Source organism: Homo sapiens, chromosome 8, assembly GCF_000001405.40.
Source record: "Homo sapiens chromosome 8, GRCh38.p14 Primary Assembly".
NCBI classification, from domain to species: domain Eukaryota; kingdom Metazoa; phylum Chordata; class Mammalia; order Primates; family Hominidae; genus Homo; species Homo sapiens.
Genome location: NC_000008.11, coordinates 104,338,208 through 104,358,159, shown reverse-complemented (window position 1 = coordinate 104,358,159; position 19,952 = coordinate 104,338,208). Strand labels below are relative to the sequence as shown.

Below are 19,952 nucleotides of genomic sequence, written 5' to 3'. Positions count from 1 at the left end.
TAGACATATTTAAAAAACACATTTTAAAAACATATTAAGGAGATGGCAGAGATTTCAGAGATTCTTTAGCTACATTCAACCCACACTCATTTTTTCAGCCAGTTCCTCTCTTCCATACTATAATCTCACCAATTGACTTCAGTAGTCTTTACTACTTTTTGGGAATCACTATTATTGAGTTTGGCTGAGAAAGCTAGTTCTTACTTTCCTGGGGTGAGATATGTGTACTTCTTTCTCTTAAGTAAATTAAGACAAAAATATGTGACATGTGAGGACTTCAACATATCCCATATTATAATTATGATTGATTAGGTCCCAACAGACAAAGTAGTAGATACAGAATCTGAGAAGAGGAAAGATAACATTTTTTTTATCCCAGGTAGAACAATAAGAGAGACCTGTTCTCATGAAGGTGTTTAGAATTCCCATGTCTTGCTGTCAAAGAGAAACTCAACTGACAACAGAGTTAGTAAGCACATCAGAAAGACACTTGACAGCTCCTAACAAAATATGGCACCAGACAGAGATTTGTGAGATGAGAAATGGTGATTTAGGGGATAATGCAATATACTTTTATAGGCCATTACAATTAGAGGTGAAAAAAGGGTGCTCTATGAAATTGCCTTGGGCAGTACCTTTCTGCCTCTGTAAGATTAACAGAGCACATTTCACAATGGATTTCTCAAGAAATTTAACTTAACATTCATTTAAATCAAAGTGAATAAGCTGCAATTAAATAAGCATTTCCCATCCAAGTGAAATGGACCCTAATGAGCTAGTCTAAATCCTGTTTTCAAGATCAAAATTGCCTTTGGTGACAGCACTGCTTTCCAGTCTGTCCTTCCAACATGGAAGAGCACTTCAGACTGAGGGCAAACCTGCCTAACAGATAAAGACAGTGTGTCCTGTGACTCGTTAAAAGTGATATGGGGGCTGGGCATGGTAGCTCACGCCTGTAATCCCAGCATTTTGGGAGGCCAAGGCAGGTGGATCACCTGAGATCAGGAGTTTAAGACTAGCCTGGCCAACATGGTGAAACTCCATCTCTACTAAAAACACAAATACATATATATATATATATAAGCTGGGCGTGGTGGCAGGCGTCTGTAATCTCAGCTACTTGGGAGGCTGAGGCAGGAGAATTGCTTGAACCTGAGAGGCGAAGATTGCAGTGAGCCAAGATCACACCATTGCACTCCAGCCTGGGTGACAGAGTGAGACTCCATCTCCAAAAAAAAAAAATAATAAAATAATAAAAATAAAATTGATTTGGAGTATAGTTAAAGAAGAAAAGGGGCCCAAATATATATTTTAACAAGAATTGTATATAATTTTAATGCACATGGTCCGTAGGCCACCCTGTCATAAATACCAGCCAGGGGATTTGCTAAAAGAGGAGAAAACAAAATAGAGGCAGGTAGAGGGCAGAAGTGCAGGCGGTGGTAAGAAGAAACAAGGAGCTGCTAGGACTGGGTTTCAGAAAGAGTTCTTTAATAAGGGAGCAGGGAGAAAAGAGACCATTGTGGGGGCAATAGCCATGGAAGACATTAAGGACGGAAGAGTTTGAAGATAGTTTGCTGGCTTTTTACATGTATGTTCCCCTTAGCATTTGCTTGTGAGGCTGTGGTAGAGATTTAAACTGTTTTCGTTTTCTTTTCCTTGAACATTATTCTATGCTGAAACTCATCACCAGGGGACCCAGCTAGAGTCTTGTTACATTGTGACACAGGCAAGATCATGTGGTTTGTTTGGAACATAGACCACATAACCATTTACCTGGCAGCTCTTTGGCTTTGAGATGAAAGGAGGCATAACCAGGTGCTGCAAGTTGGCTCTGTAAACTCAGACTCCTGAGAGGACTGCGTCACATAGTTCTCTATTATCCGGCATGAATAGTGACTGCCATCCTAGACCTGAAGAGAATTGTTGGTGCGATGTGGCTGAGGAGTAGTCGGGGTCTCTCATGACTTGTCTGCACTTGCCATGTCCATTTGCTTCTTCCTAATCATTTTCAGGACTGGAAGCCAGAAATGAATCTGAAGAGACAGAAAAGTGGATAAATGGGCATTGGAGTTGGAGTCATTTTAAATGCCTCTGACATCAATTTTTCATTGTGGGGTTAAAGATGTTGGGAAAAACAGCAAAAGACTGAAATAGACAAGCTTATTTTTGTGGGTTATGTTGGTCTTCCATTGTCTATGGGCTATTTCCCAATTCTGTAAGTTGCAGATGGCTGATAGAAACAATGTGAGTGATTCTTGTCCATGACATGCACATGATCTCCGTCCAGTAGCATACAACTGACCCCTCCCATCCACCCTTAAAGAAAAAGACAGTTTTGCATCTATTAAGCAAATTCGTTTGGTATTCCTGATGGCCTATATATATGTGTGTTCTTTGAATTATTCTTTGGTTCTAATTTTTCTTACCATTCCCTCATTAATAAATATGTATTAAATTACGTAAAATTTTTGATATATGTCCATTTTATGTATGAGTCATGTTTTTATTTATATATTTGTGTATATATTATATTTTTGTATATCCTCTCTCTATATATACACACACAAACACACACTGGAAAATGAACAAATTCTTTGGCATTTACAAAGCTATAGTAGACATTTCCCTGTCTGTTTTTTCTTTACCTAGGAAAGCATATCTTACTGTGCTTTGTCCTTTACTAGTCAACACTAAGGACCTCTCCAGTCGCCTCTCTACAATGACTGAACATACTTTCTTGAAACCAATATTTTAAGATATCTTGTAGTATCCTTTGGATCAGCATTCAAATCACAGAGTTAAGAGTCCTAGCCACGTACGTTTGTTCATTTTTCCTCAATGTCCTATCTACTGCTGGGGTACAAGCCCTGATGTGAAGTTGAAGCATTAAATGCTTCGAAGTCCCCTTTCCCATTTCCCTCCAAACTCAACACTTCCTCAATTGGAGGTTACACCACCATCTTGGCCTTACCTTTGTAAGATAGAGACTCAGCCGTCTTTTGACTTCTCCCAGCGGCTGCTTTGATCTTTTTTTAAGCAGCTTTGCATGCAGATATTGGATGCGCTTCCTCTCCACGCTGGGGTAGAAAGATGCTGACACCAGGATTTTAAGTTGCATAAGGATAGAGGACAACAGTCCCAGCATCACTAATATCAAAAGAATAACACTGAGAGGAACCCAGGTCTCAGATAGAAGGAATTTTGGTTTTGGGATACAGTTGGGTTCAAACACAGATATATTAAAGGAAGAATCATGGATAATATCTTGAGTTCCTTGTTTCTAAAATGAAAGAATAAAATAATCATGATGCATGCCATTTTTGTACTCAGTTCTTGTCTTTCTCAGTACTTCCCTGCAGCACATGGCACTATCTTCAAATATACAGGGAGCTTTGGCCAAAGGAACTATCACATCTTCCTTTGTGTGTTATGATTGGAGCAAAGGAGAAGAGATGTGTCTTATTTGTAACTATTGCAGTGTTTTCTGAAATGGGTTTGTAGAAATACAGTAAAGATTCCCTTGAGAGAAGTGTATTAAATACATTTTTTTTACTCTATCCCTTCTTTTGAAAATCACAATGCCCATTAGACTGTTGAAGGCTCTGAGGAGTAGGCAGAGGAATCTTTTAATTTTAGCAGCAGTTTTCCTAACAAATTTGATCACATAACTCATTTTCATGGAATACTTGTTTCTACATGTTAGCACACATGGGGCGAAAGAAAGAGCGGGGAGTCAGCTAAACTCAGGGAGAAGATTGCTTTAGAACATAGCCCCTTAGGACCCCATCATATCCTCCCAATACCCCTTAAGCAGACCACAAGGTCACAGAGATGTTGAGGCATTAAATTATGTTCTACATCTACCTTCTGGAGCTTAGGGGGGATTATTCTTATTTAGTGTACTATATTCCCTTCTGGGTTGATACGTTGGCCCTCTAGCCCACATTATTGAAGGAGACTCTGAAATCATGTTTGGGCAGGTCCTAAAAATAGGAAAAATTCTCATCCCTATTGGATGCTCATGAGAGGTACATTCCTTCTTTTTGAAGGCAAGAGAATAAGCCAGTTGCCCTCAGCAGACTGACACAGAGGGCAGGAGATGACATTGAGCCACCCAGCCAAGCCACCCACAAGAGAAGTGTGTGCTGATCCAGCTCTTTCTTTCTCTGACCTGGGAAAGTCATTTAATCTCTCAGTGGATTTCTTTTCTAATTTGGCAAAACAGGAGTTAATGGACCAGATCCTGCCCATGAATAAACTACTCCCAGTGTAAATTAAACACCTTGGGGAAGGAGCATTAGCCTTATAGACTGGGGTGCTTAGTAAGTTATTATCACTCTAGTGCCACAGAGCCCTGGGGCTGGGAAAAGGTAAATGACTTCTCAAAAAGAACCCAACTACACCCAGCGGACGCTGGGCACCTTGGATCTATTCCAGTGCCTGTGAAGACTTTGGAAACCCCAAACCTGGGACCTCTACACAAATGCCAAATCAAATCTATAATTTCCCCAGCACTGTGCCGAAGCAACGAAAAACATTTGTGTTGCCTCTCCCTTTCTCTTATTAAAAAGATAGGCTGCCTACAATTAAATAGAGAGATTTCAGTCCCCAGAGCAAAGACATGAACTCTTTTTAATACTATTGAAGAAACAAACATATCGATTGAGTCAGTGATGAGAAATCCTGCAATAAGAAAGCAGCGGGTGTTCGGTCTGGGACAAAGTTATTTTGTCTAGAAATTTAACTGGGGATTTTGCAGCTGGGAATCCGGGCTTCAGAACGGCTGAGTCAACACTTTGGTGTGGGGTTGGTTGAGGGTGATGTGGAAGACAAATTAATTCTTCCAAAATGCCTGAGCAGTATACTAAATGGCACCCCAACGTTTCAATATTTATATTCCTCTCTTAAGTAAACAATTTGTTGGCACAACACTAAGCAATGAATGGAGGCCAGGCTCTGCTGTCAGCCAGTCCTGAAAAGTTAATGCAGCCAAGTGCAGTGAACATAGTAGGTGCCCAATAAGTAGAAACTCTGGCTATTTTTACTCACACTGCCCACCCACAGAGCTAGCTCTACCTGGGTCATTTCCCGTCTTCTTTATTCAAAACACATAATTAAAATCATATTAAAGTGAGGGAGAAATATTGGCAGCACCTTGAGCCAGTGTTTCTCTTCCTGTGTGACTTCTCCTTGGCAAATGTGAGGCAATGGTGAAGACAAGGAGCCCCCAAGGGCACCCTGGCATAAGGGCAGGGCATCGTCAGTCATGCAGAAGCTGGCTGCTGGCAGCACAGTCTCCCAGACACAGCAGGAGAGAGTTTGAGAAGCGCTCCCACAGCAGTCTCGTACTCACATCTGTTCCAGTGCCCACCACCCTACTGTTTCACGTGTGTTCATGGTGACCTCCCTCCCAGGACATAAGCCCCTCAAGGAGGCCCTCACAACCTAGACATCTTTGTGCCCCCAGGAGCCAGTAATGCCCAAAGACAAAGGTGTCAGGGCATTGTCATTGGAAAGCTGGGTTTTTTTGGAAGGCAGAGCTTGCTTTTTTTTTTCCCCTCTATCTAACATGGTGAGAATTCACAACACAGCCATGGGTACTTGCTGAGAGAGAAGTAAATGAGAGAGAAGAAAAATGTAGGAGAGAGAGGGAGAATTGAGGGGGGAAGACAAGAAAGGAGAACACAGGAGGAGAATGGCAGTGAAGGAGTGAGACCCTTTTCCTGGCCACCCCCAAAGATCAAGCATGTCTGAAATTCTTGTTTGGCTTTCAGCTAAAACACTACTTCCATTATCCACCCTGCTCCAAATATCTAGAGCAACAGGGTGCCTTGTAATTAACGGGATTCTTCAGGGGACTCAGAGAGCTCAGAATAATCAACTCTGAGAAGCAGCCCAGGCTTAGGAGGGCAGGAGCCATGGGACTAGATCTGCTGAGCCAGAGGAAAAGGGAGGAAAAGTGTGAATGCAGCAGGAGGATTTAAGGCCCTGAGAGAGAAAGAGAGAAATGGCAAGTGGGGCTTCATGGGAGGGTTTGCAGGCAACATTGTGGCCGTTTTTCCTCCATGAATTCCCCAGCAGCTGGCACAGCCTATTGCAGCTTGAGGAATAGTAGGGCAAATCAGACCCGTGGAAACAGCTACTGGATACCCCATAAATATGTACAATGATTATGTGTCAATTAAAAATAACAATAAAAGTTAAAAGTAATAATCTTTTTAAAAAAAGAAACAGCTGTTGGTGTTTTTGAGGCAGGAGATAAGCAGGACTTGTTTACTGAGCCTCTGTCATGACCCTGTGGATAGAAACAAGATATAACAAAGAAACCAGCCAAAATCAGCTAGGACCAAGATGGTGATGAAAAAAAACCTCGAGTTGTCCTCACTGCTCATTATATGCTAATTATAATATATTTGCATAAGGCACTCCTACCAGCACCATGACAGCTTACAAATGAGGCCATGGCAATAACCCAGAAGTTGTGTTACATGGCTTGGGAACTCCCCACCCTTTTTCCAGAAAGCTCATGAATAACCCACTCCATAATTAGCATAAAATTAAGACTAGGTATAAATATAAGAGATCAGCAATCCATGAGTGCTACTCTGGGCCACTCTGCCTATGCGATAGTCTTTCTCTGCCTATGGAGCAGTCATTTTGCTGTACTCTGTTCTAATAAACTTGCTTTCTTTCACTGTCAGCTCACTCTTGAATTCTTTCCCAAGCAAAGCCAAGAACCCTCCTAGGCTAAGCCCCAATTTTGGGGTTCACCTGCATTATTTTTGCCAGCCTGGGCTAGTGTACTTAACCCAGCATGCATCACACACATGCACATACACACCCATACATGTGCATACACACACCACGTCATTCAGCCTGGCAATTTCTGGGTTTAAAAAACAATAAGACAAGTGTCTCACAATATCCAGATCCTCTGAAATGTCAGCATAAGCACAAATATCCACAGAGAAAATGGAAAAGAAAAGATAAACGATGGGATGCCCCATCCCCACCATCTTCTCTGTTTGTCCATGGCTGCCAAGAGGAGAGAGAAGGAGAATAGAGGAGAGAAAGCCACATCCCTCAAGATGCGGGAGGCACCAGCTCAGACACAGATGCTATCCTGGCTAATGAAGATTTGTCACAGATCCATCTGATGGCAATTAGGTGTTAACTTTCTGGCTTTGTTCTTGGAGTGAGGGGTTTAGAACAGGGGTTCTCAATCTTGGCTGCACATTAGAATTACTCTGGGAGGTTTTAAAAATCTCTCGCCGCAGTCCAATTAAAACAGAATCTGGTGATTCTGGAGAGAGGAATTGAGTTGCTTTGTTAGTTCAACTCTGCAGTGATGCAACTCTGTATCCAAGGTTGAGGACCTCTGGGTTAGCGGGTCCTTGCTTTCTAAGACCTAGACCAGAGTTGCTCAAAATGTGGTCTATGAACCACCTACCTTGAAATCACAGGCATGCTCATTTAAAATGCTCTCCCAGTTAAAACAAAATCTGTGTAAATCGAGGCCTGAAACTCTATGTCCAACTCAGGAAATTCTTAACACACATTTAAAATTGAGAACTAGTAATCCAATCTGTCTCAAAAAACCGAAGTGTAGCTGTGTAGCATTTTTAAAAGTGGGTGCTATCAGCTACTAGCACCAGCCATTTTACTGGGTAACTTAGGAGCCCTTTTCAACAATCATCCTTTTAAACATTGCACTGATGCCTTGGGAACCCTCTTGTATTTGATAAGGACTCAAGATGCACAGAAAAGTTCTCACTCAGAGAAGGTGCTTGAAGTCTACTTGCCTAAGCTTGAGGATGAGAGGAAGGCAGACCCTAAATCCGTGTCTCTTAGGTTCACGCCGGATAGTCCTGCTTGGGAATCCACTTCATGTTCAACCTCAGAGATACTTATTTCCACATTTCAGTGTTTGTTGACTGTAGGAGGCTGGATGATGCCCTGAAGATATAAGATCTTAGTGCCTGGAACTGTTAATGTTACTTTATTTGGAAAAAGGATCTTTGCAAATGTTATTAAGTCAAAGATCTTGAGATAGAGAAATTACCCTGGATTATACTGGAAAGTCCTAATACAGTCATACAGATTCTTTAAGACAGAGGCAGAGAGAGATTTTCCACATGCAAAGAAGAAAGTGATGCGATGACAGAGCAGAGACGGGAGTGATGTGGTCACAGGCAAAGGGATGCCATCGGCCACTAGAATCTGGAAGATGCAAAGAGCGGCAACAGCACCTGGATTTCAGGCCAGCGACACTCACTTCATACTTCTCCCCCCAGAACTATCCAAGAATAAACTTCTGTTATTTTAAGCCATTCAATTATTGGCCATTTGTCACAGCAGCCACAGGGAACTAATGCAGAATCACACCCTAACATTGGGACTTCGATTCAATTTGACCTGCAATTGTTGGGTTCCTTCTATGTGCCAAGCACTATGCTGGGCACCAAGGATGCAAAGGTGAATGAGCCACTGCCCTGCCTCGGGAGGTTCATGATCTTTTGCAAGACAGACCAGCAAATAGCCGGGATAAACCATGAGAAGTACCTGTGGGCCCTACCTCTCCGTGCAGTTTCAAGTGAACCTCAAACCCTGGCAAGCTTTGAAACTGCTTGCTCACTGAGAAAATGAGCCGATACAGCAGATAATCTACAGCTGCAAACAGCACCCAGATGCAGAGATGGATAAGTATGGGGAGGAAAAACAGCCCCAGGTTTTTCCTTTCTTTAGGAGTCGGCCAGAAAGTCGGGATGATGACATACTTCCTCCTTTCCTCCTTATTCAGCGGGAGCACACAGGGCCTCTGTTGATGTCTCTCCCTTTCATCAAACTGAACAAATTGTCTGGTGATGTAGATGTTTTCATACTTCCAACCACAAGGGCCCAAAAATCGCTTCATGAAGAGGCCAGTGCCAAGCAGGACGAGCGAAAGCCCTGCAAAGGCAAGTAGCTTCTGACCCAGGGAGGACAACACCTCTGTGGTTGTTGCCATCTGGTACAAGACGCTCAGGACTTCCCCTTTGCTGTCATTTAGCTGTGCCTCCAGGACATGGCTGGGACTGAAAAGAGAGACTGCCAGGGTCTGGTTCCAAGAAACAAGGTCATCAAATACACTTAGTGGAGTGGCAAGGCCATAAATCCACTGAATTGCCTCAATATATTTTTTCAAAAGTGGAAAATGTATGGAAAAGCTCTTTGCCCTTAGGTTGCAAGTCATACCATCTAGGAGACCTTTAAAGTTGTGAAAAATATTTTCTACGTGTCCCAAGATGACGATCCCTGTGCCAGCTGCAATCAAAGCATTCCTGCCTTCACGCAGGCCACAAGAGAGAAAGACAAGAAGAATAAAACATCGTGCATGCTTGGAGCAACACAGCAGAACACACGTGATAATCCAGGAGGCAGCGGCCGCTATGATTGATGGCAGAAACCAGCAGGCGGCCACAGACAGGAGGCCCACTGAAATAAGAGCAACCAAACAGCAAACTCCCAAATGCTGGATAAAGTCCATCCATCCGGGGCTTCTTGGAGACACGTAAATCTCCCAAAGACTTAGGAAGATATCAGTGCCTGAGGTCCAGATACCCATGCTCCCTGCGTCCTGAAAATGAAAAAGAAACCAAGGTCAGAAATTACTTTTGAATGTCCTCTGACCTTCGTAAAGGCCATGGTGGTAGACTGACTACAAAAAACGTGGCCATAATTCTTTACTCTTCCTGTGTCCTCTCCCTTGAAATATGACTTTACAGCTTCTTTGACCTTCCACCACCAAGAGTTGAGGTCTATTCCTCCATCCTTTGCATCTGACCTGGCCTTGTGACTTCTTTGCCCAATCGAATGCGGCAGAAATGACAGTGACAATCCTGGGCCTGGGACTCGCTCCACGTGCTCTCACGGAACCCTGCTCCTGCTGTGTTAAGTCCAGCTGCATTTCCCTGCTATCGCTGCTGTACAAATAACCACTGAGTATTTTAAAGGAGCACGTATTTATTCTCTCACAGTTCTGGAGGTCAGAGTCTAAAATGGGCCTGCAATGCTGTGGTCCTTCAGGAGGCACTGGGGGAGAACTTGATTCCTTGCCTCTTTCAGCTTTAGAGGCCACCTACATTTCCTGGCTCATGGACCCTTTTTCCACCATCTCAAAGCCAGCAATGTTGCATCTTCCCTCTGCTTTTATCCTTATGTTTTCTCTCTAGACTCTGATCCTCCTGCCTCCCTCTTATAAGAGCCCTTGTGAATACGCTGGGCCCACCCAGATAATCTGGGATAATCTCCCCATCTCAAGACACATTTGCAGGGTCCCTTTTACCATGCGAGGTAATATATTCATGAGTTCTGAGCAGTAGGACATGGACAACTCTGAGGGGGCCATTTTTGAGCCTATTATACCAGGCTGGACTGCTGGATGACAAAAGGCACCTGACCAGGCAATTCCATCAGCTCAGCCAATAGCCGTCCAACTGCCAGATGTGAGAGAGGCCATCCTAGACCAGCTGGTTCTCAGCCGGCCCACCGGCTGACCACAGACACGTGAGCCATCATAAATGCTGATTTATTTTAAGCCACTGAATTCTGTACTGGTCTGCTAGAGAGTCTTTGTTTATTGATAAAGGCAACAGTCCTATATCATAAGCCTTAATAGTTGAACCCTAGGTTGAGAGGCTGAAATGTCAATAAACTGCATTATGCAAGCTTACTCTTTAATAGTCATCTGTTTTCTTGTGCTCTAATTTTACAGACCAGAAAGCACACCAAGGGCATCCAAACTTAAATGCAGCCTTGGACTGAGGCCATTGTGTCTCTGCTCTGTAACCACGGCTTCTTCCCTCTTATGCCCCTGCCCTCCAAGAACAGTTTCCTCCTGAGAATCTTACAAAGAAAAGAAGAATATTTATTTTTTGTCACTGAGATAATCATCTTTTCTTTTTTCCTAGATCGGAATAATTAAAATGAAGGCACTCTGGAGCTGCTAACACGCCATCAGTCACACAGATTTAGGTCTGTGATGCTCTCAGAGAGACTTGGATTCATTTGGAGTGATATATATATAAAATAAATTTGATATTCTCTCCTGATTGACATGAAAATATCTAATAAGCGTTATATCATATGTATGGGATTTTAATGCGGACATTGATCAGTTTTTAAACAATCTCAAATAAATCCCTTCTCACATTAAATAGGATGGGTCTGAATTTACGGAGTAGCTGAATACAGTGAGAGCCAGTGAATTACATTTGTCGTGTAAGATGAATCCAGGCACTGGATAGAGGTTGTGAACTGAGCAACCAGAGGTGAGGAAATTATTCTTTCTGTGTTCAGGCCGAATGAGGTTAACGAAGGGCAGAAATAAAATGGGGGAAATAGGCAGGTTATGAATAAACATGTGTAAATTTCTCCACCAGGAATAGAGAGTGCTTGCAGTTCCTGCCATATAATCTGAATGGAAATGCTCAGAGCAGAAAAGAGATATGAGGCGAGCCTGAGTGTTGAAGAGTGGTCACTGCCATGTGGAACTGGCCTTAGCAGAGTCCAGATCCCACATATAAGGATGTTCTGACAGCATCAGCAGGAAAGGGAATTAGAATGGTAATTAAAATGGGGGCCAGCAAAAGGCCATAGTTCCTTTTTCCTGAAAGCTTGCTTCCTTTTGGAATCAGAGGCTGGACTGAAGGGTGAAGATAGAGACAGGCCTTACCATAGGCCCCTGTGCTGCTGAACCTTCCCTGGCATTACAGACCGAGTCAGACAGGCTCCACGGCACAGGCAGGAGGACTGCGGGCAGGTGGGCAGAGGGCAGGATGCCCAGCACCAGACCAAGTCAGGAGCTGTGGCCTCTCCTCCCAGGCATGACTCTTTGCTCTCCCATTACTTTGGGTTTGACCCCAAACCATTATTTGATTGATACCCTAAAAGATGATAATTCCCTATTACATTGTAAGCACTTTTTATAAAGCATCTCTCTAACCGTGCCCCAAGCCTGCAGATGCTCTTTGCATCTGGCACATTGGAAACTGAGGCTCTGAGTGCTTGCCGGAATTTGTCAGCAATCACACAGTGGAGACGGCACAGCAGGATTTAGGCCAGACTTCCCCAACTCCTGGGCAGGCCCTGTCATCTGTACCATGCCCCAATTCCATGGCTCTGCGTGATGTGACAGGACCCTCAGCTCACTGTTTGCCCCTGCTGGAGGCATCACACCTTCTGCCAGTGGCTGTTAAGAGCTGACCTGTATATCACAAGCCCATTTCCATTATCTGCTCACTTTTTGTTCCCTGCATCAAAATAGTTGACTCTGTAAGGATATCTCTCAAACTAGCAGATTCTTCTTTAAAGGAAATCAGAAATCCCAGCTGTTTAACTTTTTTCTAATTTCCTTTATGAGGCACCATTTTGCTTCCTTCCTAAAAAATTAATAATGTATATTCTGGATTCATTTTTCCTTTCTCTTGCCTTCATCCTTGTACAGTGTGTTCCTAATACAGACATTTTTCTGAAAGTATGAAAAAGATTTATGGACACATTAACATTTTAACGTTCTGCAATAAAATCTAGTATCAATTAAAGAAGATATACGACTGCAATTTTGTCCTGTAAGAAGAACACGTTTTCTTAACAGGCAACAGCTCTAATATTATCCTTCTTATTTTTGTGTTAAAAACAGCACGTCACCAGACACCAAAACTTTCTGCAGTGAGAGGACTGAAGGTATCTTCTCTTATTTTACAGCTCAAGCTCCAGAGCACAATTTCGGCCCATGAGCCCAAAGGCTGATGTTCCAGTCTGCCCTTTTGGCATCGTTGACTGTGGCATTGATTTCTTCTCTGTTCCTCATTTTCCCTAATTGAATATATGACCTACCTGCTCCCTTTGGTTTAATGAGGGGAACCTTAGCAAGCACCTTAAGACTCTCTGGATAAAAGGTCCCCAGTAAATGCAACTCATTCCTTGTTGTTTCTTTGCTGCCACAGAAAATGAAGAATGTCCATTCTCTGCTCTTTAGGCAAAGATTGAATGCCCAAGCTGACGGGAGGCTTAGAGACAGGCACTGGAGGCTGAGCGTGGTGGCTCATGGCTATAATCCCACACTGAGGTGGGAGGATTGCTTGATTGAGCCCAGGAGTTTGAGACCAGCCTGAGCAACAGAGAGAGACCCCCATCTCTCTTTTTAAAAAACAACTACAAAAAAAGAGATAGGAGCTGGATTGTACCAACCTCCAAGGTGTACAACCCTCCAGGCACGGTGACGCCACCCATGCCTCCTTTAGACATCTGCTGATTTCTTTTTGCTCCTGTGGAGGTGCAGCCATTCTGCTGATCTTCCTTCAGATATTTCAATTCTTTCCTCTTAGGCAAATCAGTAAACTGGAATTTTGATAAGCTAAGCAAGTGTTTTCTTTCTCAAAGACTTTGTCAAGCAGATACCCAGATTCATAAATTTTCTTTTTTGAGCTGGAGGGAATCATACCTCAGAGCTTCTTAGACTTGAGTACGTGATCACTGGAGGGAATCTTGTGAAAATGCAGATCTTGATTGAGAAGGTTTAGGGTGGCCCCTGAGAGTTGGCATTCCTAACAATTTCCCAGGTGCTGCTGAAGCTGCTCTCGTGAAGACTAGGCTTCAGGTAGCAAGCTCTAGAATTCAGCGCTGTTGGATAGAACTGTCTGTGATGCTGGGCGTGCTGTATATATGCACTGTCCAGCATAGGAGGCACTGGCCACATGAGCACTTGACATAGGGCTCATGCGACTGAGAAATTGAATTTTAAATTTTACTTAATTTTAATTAATAAATTTAATTACTTTTAGTGTTATTTTATTTAATTATGATATTTAATTTTAATTTTAATAAATCAAATCACTTACATTTAAATTAAGATTAAATAAAATTTAAATTACTTAAAGTTAAATAAATAACTGGAGCCTATGTATTGGATAGCACAAGTCCAGATTATTTTGATTGACACCTCCCTGGCTGATAGTCACAGTTGAGGAAAATAAAATCCAAAGAGGCTAAGGGACTCTAAGCTAGGAGGGAGACCCCCAGTTTTCCACCACTTGGTGACACACTTCCCATCACATTAATATCTCACCTCTGACTTTTCATGAGTCCTGTTTTAAAATTCCACTACAGTTCCTGAGTAATGGAATTAAAATTTCCTATGTACCTGTTGTCATCTGCCAGTGCTGCCATAGCAGAACCCCACAGGCTGGGTGGCTTCAACAGCAGAAATTGATTTCTCACAGTGGTGGAGGCTGGAAGTTCCAGATCAAAGTCTGGCAGGGTTGGGTTCTGGTGAGGACCCCTCCCCGGCTTGCAGACAACTGCCTCCTCCCTGTGTCCTCACATGGCGGGGAGAGAAGGTGGGTGAGCTCTCTGGTATCTCTTCACTCTGTGTCGCCTTTAATTAAGTACAAAGACTTTTCCAACATGGCACCCAGAAATCATTTTACCCACTGCTCTGTTTGGCTGCCAGTCTCTTGTCTCTCTCTTAGACAATGGTGAGGCAGTTACATTTTCCTCTTCTTATAGGGACACTAGTCCTATCAGATGAGGGCTCCACACTTAGGACCTCATTTAACCTTAATTACTTCCTTAGAGACCCAATTTCCAAATACAGCCACACTGGGGGTTCAAATAAATTGGCAGAAGACACAAACATTCTGTCCATAACAATATCCAGTTGGTCCTGAGTCACCACAGAATACATAATTAGAGAAGCAGACAAACTATAGCTTGTGTCAATGTCTGAGGCTTAGTGAAATACTCCTAATAATAGACGGTAGTTATTAATGTGTTACTTTATGCCTGGCCACAGCATCTGATATACACGCTTTCTAACCCTGTACTATTGTAGCTACATCTTTTTAGGTAGGAAACTGGGGCTGAGAGAGGTTAAACAACTTGGTCAAGGTCACACAGCTAATAAGTGCAAGAGCCAGGATTTTAACCCATGTTTAAATGACCCTGAGGGGTCAGAATGGACAACTGCTCAGCCCCTCTTTGACATGATCATAGAGCAGCTTCTGAATTTGGTTGAACTATATTCCCAGGATCCCAATCACAAAAGAATCCTGAAATGCAGATTCACCATGCCAGGATGAGCTGTCCTGCGTTGTCAACCACATCCAGGGTCCTCCCCTCCTCTGCCAGCATAGCTTTATTGAGCCATCTAAAGCTGACTGCAGCTCTCCTTTCCCCAGGTGAACACTTGCTCCACAGCATCGTGCAGTCGTGAATACCTATATTTTACTCAGAGACTGTTACAGCCAGCGTTAGGCTCACCTTGCTCACCCCTTAAACTCGGGCACCCCGGACGCAGGCCCATCCTGGTCTGAGGTCCAGATCAAGGGCTGTCTCTCCCAACTTAGCCATCTCTCCCAGGGATGGGGAAGAAAAGTGCATTCCGTGTTGGTCTCACCTTCCCTGTTGAGCTGGGGTCAGGAATGGGGGCTCATCCTGTCCCCTGCAGGCAGCACTTAGCATTTCAAATGCCTACAGGGGTCAGACAAGCACCAGAAACAGTGAAGGAAGTAAGGAGATAGAGATACTCCTTGGGAGTGTGGGGTGTGGGCCAGTGGGCCATGGGTCTCTGGGGGGCTGGAGAGCCCATGCCCCCATTTAACTTGTAGGAACAGCAGCCTCCAACCCAGCAGATTTTCTTGAAAGTTCTCTATGGAGGCAGTCACCAGATTTTCTGACTTTTATTTTTTAAGTCAGAAATCTAGATTTCTTTGGGTGACATCTTCTGGTTCTTAAAAAACTGTTGGCTCAAATTATTTTTAAACACTCTGACGGCTGATTTTGGCCACGGATTGTGAGAGTGCAGCCTTGATCATCAGATGACGTTCACATGGCTCTCTTCTCTCCTCTCTGGCTGGCTTCTCACCTTAGCCCTCCTCTTCTCCATTCCTGTGAATTACCTTTTCCCCTTTTATCCCTGGAGACATTTAAAAGCCATGCTTAAACCAAGTTCCAGTCTCACAAATAAAGGTTTTCCTCTATACCTCGGAAATGTTTATTTTTGCCCAAAGATTTCTAACTGTTTTATTCCCCTCTCTTGTGCTTACAGAGTCCCTCCCTCTGCCTCTCCATCGTTTTTTTCTGGCAGCATCTAAAAGTTTACCTGATCCCTTTAACCTGTAATTTCTCTTTATTTTGCCTCCATTGTCAATAATGTCTATTCCTGACTCAACATGCTTGTGTCCCCAGGATACAATACCTGTTTCTGGCTTTTACCAACAGCACTATCCCTAGAGTAATGGCCACTCTCTTGCTTTTATCTCAGAACTGCAGTTTCTACCACACCTCAGGCAGGGAAGCCTTAGCAGTCCACAGCAGAGTACCACCAAGGGCCCCATCTCTCTTTCATGGGGTTAAAGCCCTTTTTGTGGCTGAGTGGAAGGGAACAGGAAAATAGCAGAACAGGGTTAGGGATGAAGAGCCCTGATTTGAGCTGAGAGCCCTGCAGAGCCATGCAGTCTGTGCATCTGGCTTGAGCCCACATTTACCTGCTTTCATGCAGGGCCAAGCTGTTGCCATGGGAAACAGAAACAGCCAGACTTCCACATCAACCCTGCCCATGCTAGCTAGCAGACACCTCTGCAAGGTACATACACCTCAATCGTTTTCCCTGCATGGGATCTCAGTGTCAGTGGGAGCATTGAGAGCCCCAGCATGGAGGGCACAGGGCTCACAGCCCCCACCCACAGAGCTCTGTTTGGCCACCTTTTTGATGAGTGAAGGAGACCGGCATTCCTGAGCACTGTCTTTTGAGCACAGATCAACTTTCAAGGTGCAGATGAATGTGTCCTTGCTTCAGATACAAGGTCCAGTCAGAAGCTACAAAAAATGGAGCCATGAAATAATAATGAGAATCTCCACATGAATGGCCCACCCTAGGAGCTTTCTAGACTGGAGGGGTATTGAAGCTGCACATCACCCATGTGTCTCCAGAGCTGGTAAGCAGAAACCCACAGGCTTACTGCTATTGAAAGTGTGGGAGGAAGAAATGTGACCTTCTCTGGAGGAAAGGCCAGGAGACAATGACCTTGGGAGCATCTTATTGCTCCCCTCTCTCCCCATTTCCAAAGCTCCTGCCTCATCTGATGTCCTGCAATTCCCATTAAGTGACACCAGTTCATTCTGACTCTGCCTGTGCAGAAGCCAATGGCTTATGCTCAACAAGCCCAGATATAGTCTGCAGACACCCCAGGGGACAATAAACCCAAACGGACAAGCACTCTGTTCTTTCTGTACTCCTCAACCAGCCCTGCCGGTCCCCTGCGGGAACCCAGTCTGAACCCATCAGCCTCCCTCACTGGCTTGATGTGAATCTCATTTTAAAAGGAATTTGATCAAAGGACAGAGCAGAACAGGAAAAGAGCGCCAAACGGAGACCTGTGGTCCAACCTGCCTCTACCCAAGCCAGGTTGCGTGGCCTTGGATAGGTCATGTCACCTCCTGGACCTCAGCTCCTATGGGCTAGCTGAGTTCTAAGGTCCCCACTAGCCCCATGCTCTCTGAAATGAAAGGTGCAGTGAGCAGCGGAGCTGGTTCTTGGAGCTGGCGTTCTGCAGTCACTTCTGAGACAGAACATCAAAGCCCAGCACCTGGGAGTGGAACAAAAGAAGAATGGAGGGTTTCTTTTCCTTTTCCTTTTTTCTCCCTTTCTTTTTTGTATAAGCTCTTGCAAACTTACAATGTGGTTCAGAATGTACTGTTCTCTCAGACTGCCAAAATAGCTTGAGCAGGAGCTGCGGCCTTCATTTGAGGTAGAGAGAACTCCTCATGACTTTGTTTTCATTGTTCTTGCCTTGGGAAAGCCAGCAAATGCCTTCCTCTGTGAAAGCAGCCTTCACACAAGAAAGGAAAGATTAATGAACGCTACTAGGTAAACAGAATAGCATTTACGGAACAATTCAGCCCATTGCTGCGTGTGCCAGGTGCCGGGAGCTGCATCGTTGGCCAGGCAGGACTGAGCCAGCCTAGGGCTCCCCATAACCACCAGGAGGATTAGCTGAGGGGATTCATAAAGTGAAGGGTGGCTCGCGTATACCCAGGCTACACCCATAAGAAGATATTCATGCTGCAGTTTTCCCTGAGCAGAGGATATTCAGATACCAACATGAAAAGACTTTCTGATACTTCCATACATAGGGAGACTGTCGGGGTATAGGGGGCCTTAAAGTATGCTCTGGTCACAATTGTTTATTCCAATTTACTAGTACTTTTTTAAAAGCAATTTTAGAAATAAGATTATTCTGAAAGTTTACTTACAGGTTTCTCTCAGATTCTTCTTCGAATGCAGAAATGCACTTCCCAAGGGCTGTAGGTCTTGATATATAGCAGGAAAAAGGGAACCAGAAGTGTCGAGAGGGTCACATCACCATGAATCAACCTCTTTATTTCCCCCATAAAGTGACTGAGCCATTTAATATCAACAAAGAGTAATGCTGATACAAATGAATAGCATATTTCTTTCTAGCATTTTCCTCAGAATAGATGTTCTAGAAATTAATTATAGAAAATAATGAAATCAGATATTTTCAAACACAAGAGAGTGAGTTGTGAAAGCTTGGACGGCCTCTCTCCCTCTTTTCTCTTTTGCCCTCACTCCCATACTCCCCACATCCACTCGAGCCATTGGGAAATGACAAGCATCCGCCATACCCACCTCTCATCCACACTTGAAGAGGCAGATGGTTCGTAGGAGCCGCCTCTGCACTCATGACCCCAGACAGGTCGAATAATTGGTTTCATGCCTCCCACTCATACATGTGACTTTCCATCTTAGAAATTTAGCTTCCAAGTCAAAAGGACCAGCTTGTGTAGTTTCGGAGAGTTAGGAAAGTCTCAAAATCTTTCTACAAAATTATTCTTTACTTTTTGTTGGAGACCCCTATTATACCTGCAAAAACCTTTATCTTAAAAAAAAAAAAAGGATCAGAATAGACCCTTGGGCTCAGGCTGGGCACACAGACTGCATGTCCCTCATGAGTCCTTTGTGTAAGGGGCTGACTTAGTCCTGAAGATGAAGAGAGCTGTTGAAATGAGATGTTTTCATTTGAACAGGAAGGATGGGACTGCAATGTGGGTGTCTGATTGAGTCATCCAGAAGCAGCCATGGTGGCCCCAAGGGAGGGAAGGGTCAGGGAGTGGGCAGGATCTTGAGGAAACGGCCCCAGACTTTGGTGAGTGGGAAGTCACTGGTGTTTCTGGAAGAGCCATTTAGGCAGGGGCCTAGGGGTGGGCACCACTCTTCAGTGGGCTGGAGCGTGAACTGGAGTGGGAGGAGGGGAGGAGCAAGCCAACCGGCTGGACTGGATGGGGTTCCTTTGTAGTAGTGCTAGGGATGGAAATGGAGAGGGAGAAGGCAGCAGTAGAGAGGTAGTGGTTTGAGTTTGGGGAAAACTAGATGAAATTTAGCATATCAGCCTCACAAAGAAGAATAAAGATAAGAGAGAGATGTTGGTACTCCCTGAGGAGGGAGGGAGGAAAGCTGAGGGCAGTTGCAACTTTCTTGGGGAAGGAGGAGATGGAGCCTTCTGAGAACGGGGGATGGAGACAGAAGTTGCTGGATCATGGAGAACAAACCTGGGGGCAGCTGCAGAAGAAAGAACTGGGAAGAGGAAATGGAGGGGCTCCCAGCTCCCACAACCAAAAATGGAGTCAGTGACATGGTTTTGAGAGTCCCCAGCAATTCCCAACTTGGGAGTGAAAGAAAAAGGCTGATTTGACAATACCTATACAAATTTATAAGCTACTAGAATTAGTCATTCCAAGAATTTATCTTATATTTGCATGGTATGTGTGTGCAGTGTGTATGTGTATGTGTACGTGTGTGTACAAATCCACCATATGCCTCTCTATGCCAGCTGGATAGCTAGATACACAGATCAGCATTGATTGTAATAGAGAATATGTAGAACAAC

General features: G+C 44.0%; 1 protein-coding gene across 5 annotated transcripts, besides 2 other annotated features; it reads right to left on the bottom strand.

Annotated features, from left to right (window-relative positions):
- Window positions 1–1,470: 1,470 nt before the first annotated feature.
- DCSTAMP (dendrocyte expressed seven transmembrane protein) lies at window positions 1,471–18,364 on the bottom strand. 5 transcript variants are annotated; one of them, XM_024447288.2, is made up of 5 exons: window positions 18,298–18,364; window positions 17,720–17,873; window positions 8,579–9,619; window positions 2,975–3,283; window positions 1,471–2,036 (listed from the first exon to the last, which is right to left on the bottom strand). In XM_024447288.2, exons 3-5 carry the CDS (start codon window positions 9,605–9,607, stop codon window positions 1,962–1,964), a joined length of 1,413 nt encoding a protein of 470 aa, XP_024303056.1. In that variant the 5' UTR covers window positions 9,608–9,619; window positions 17,720–17,873; window positions 18,298–18,364; the 3' UTR covers window positions 1,471–1,961. The 5 variants fall into 5 exon arrangements, with proteins under 5 accessions (XP_024303056.1, XP_024303057.1, NP_110415.1 ...); XM_024447289.2 differs by lacking the exon at window positions 2,975–3,283; NM_030788.4 differs by lacking the exon at window positions 17,720–17,873 and having other exon boundaries at window positions 18,298–18,334.
- Window positions 6,906–7,407: an enhancer, noted in NCBI's record as "NANOG hESC enhancer chr8:105362981-105363482 (GRCh37/hg19 assembly coordinates)". NCBI's record gives its function as "activates a minimal SCP1, AML or CMV promoter by ChIP-STARR-seq in naive H9 embryonic stem cells {active_cell/tissue: H9 hESC(naive)}" and the evidence as "EXISTENCE:reporter gene assay evidence [ECO:0000049][PMID:30033119]".
- Window positions 15,209–15,757: an enhancer, noted in NCBI's record as "OCT4-NANOG hESC enhancer chr8:105354631-105355179 (GRCh37/hg19 assembly coordinates)". NCBI's record gives its function as "activates a minimal SCP1, AML or CMV promoter by ChIP-STARR-seq in naive H9 embryonic stem cells {active_cell/tissue: H9 hESC(naive)}" and the evidence as "EXISTENCE:reporter gene assay evidence [ECO:0000049][PMID:30033119]".
- Window positions 18,365–19,952: the final 1,588 nt, after the last annotated feature.

Excerpts from the sequence above, each read along its gene's own strand:
- DCSTAMP (XM_024447288.2), bottom strand. The coding sequence starts at position 9,607 with ATGGGTATCTGGACCTCAGGCACTGATATCTTCCTAAGTCTTTGGGAG. Across the intron at positions 3,284-8,578 it reads ACTTGAAACTGCACGGAGAG|AAACAAGGAACTCAAGATAT; the intron begins GTAGGGCCCACA and ends CTTTCATTTTAG. Across the intron at positions 2,037-2,974 it reads TGAGTCTCTATCTTACAAAG|ATTCATTTCTGGCTTCCAGT; the intron begins GTAAGGCCAAGA and ends CTGTCTCTTCAG.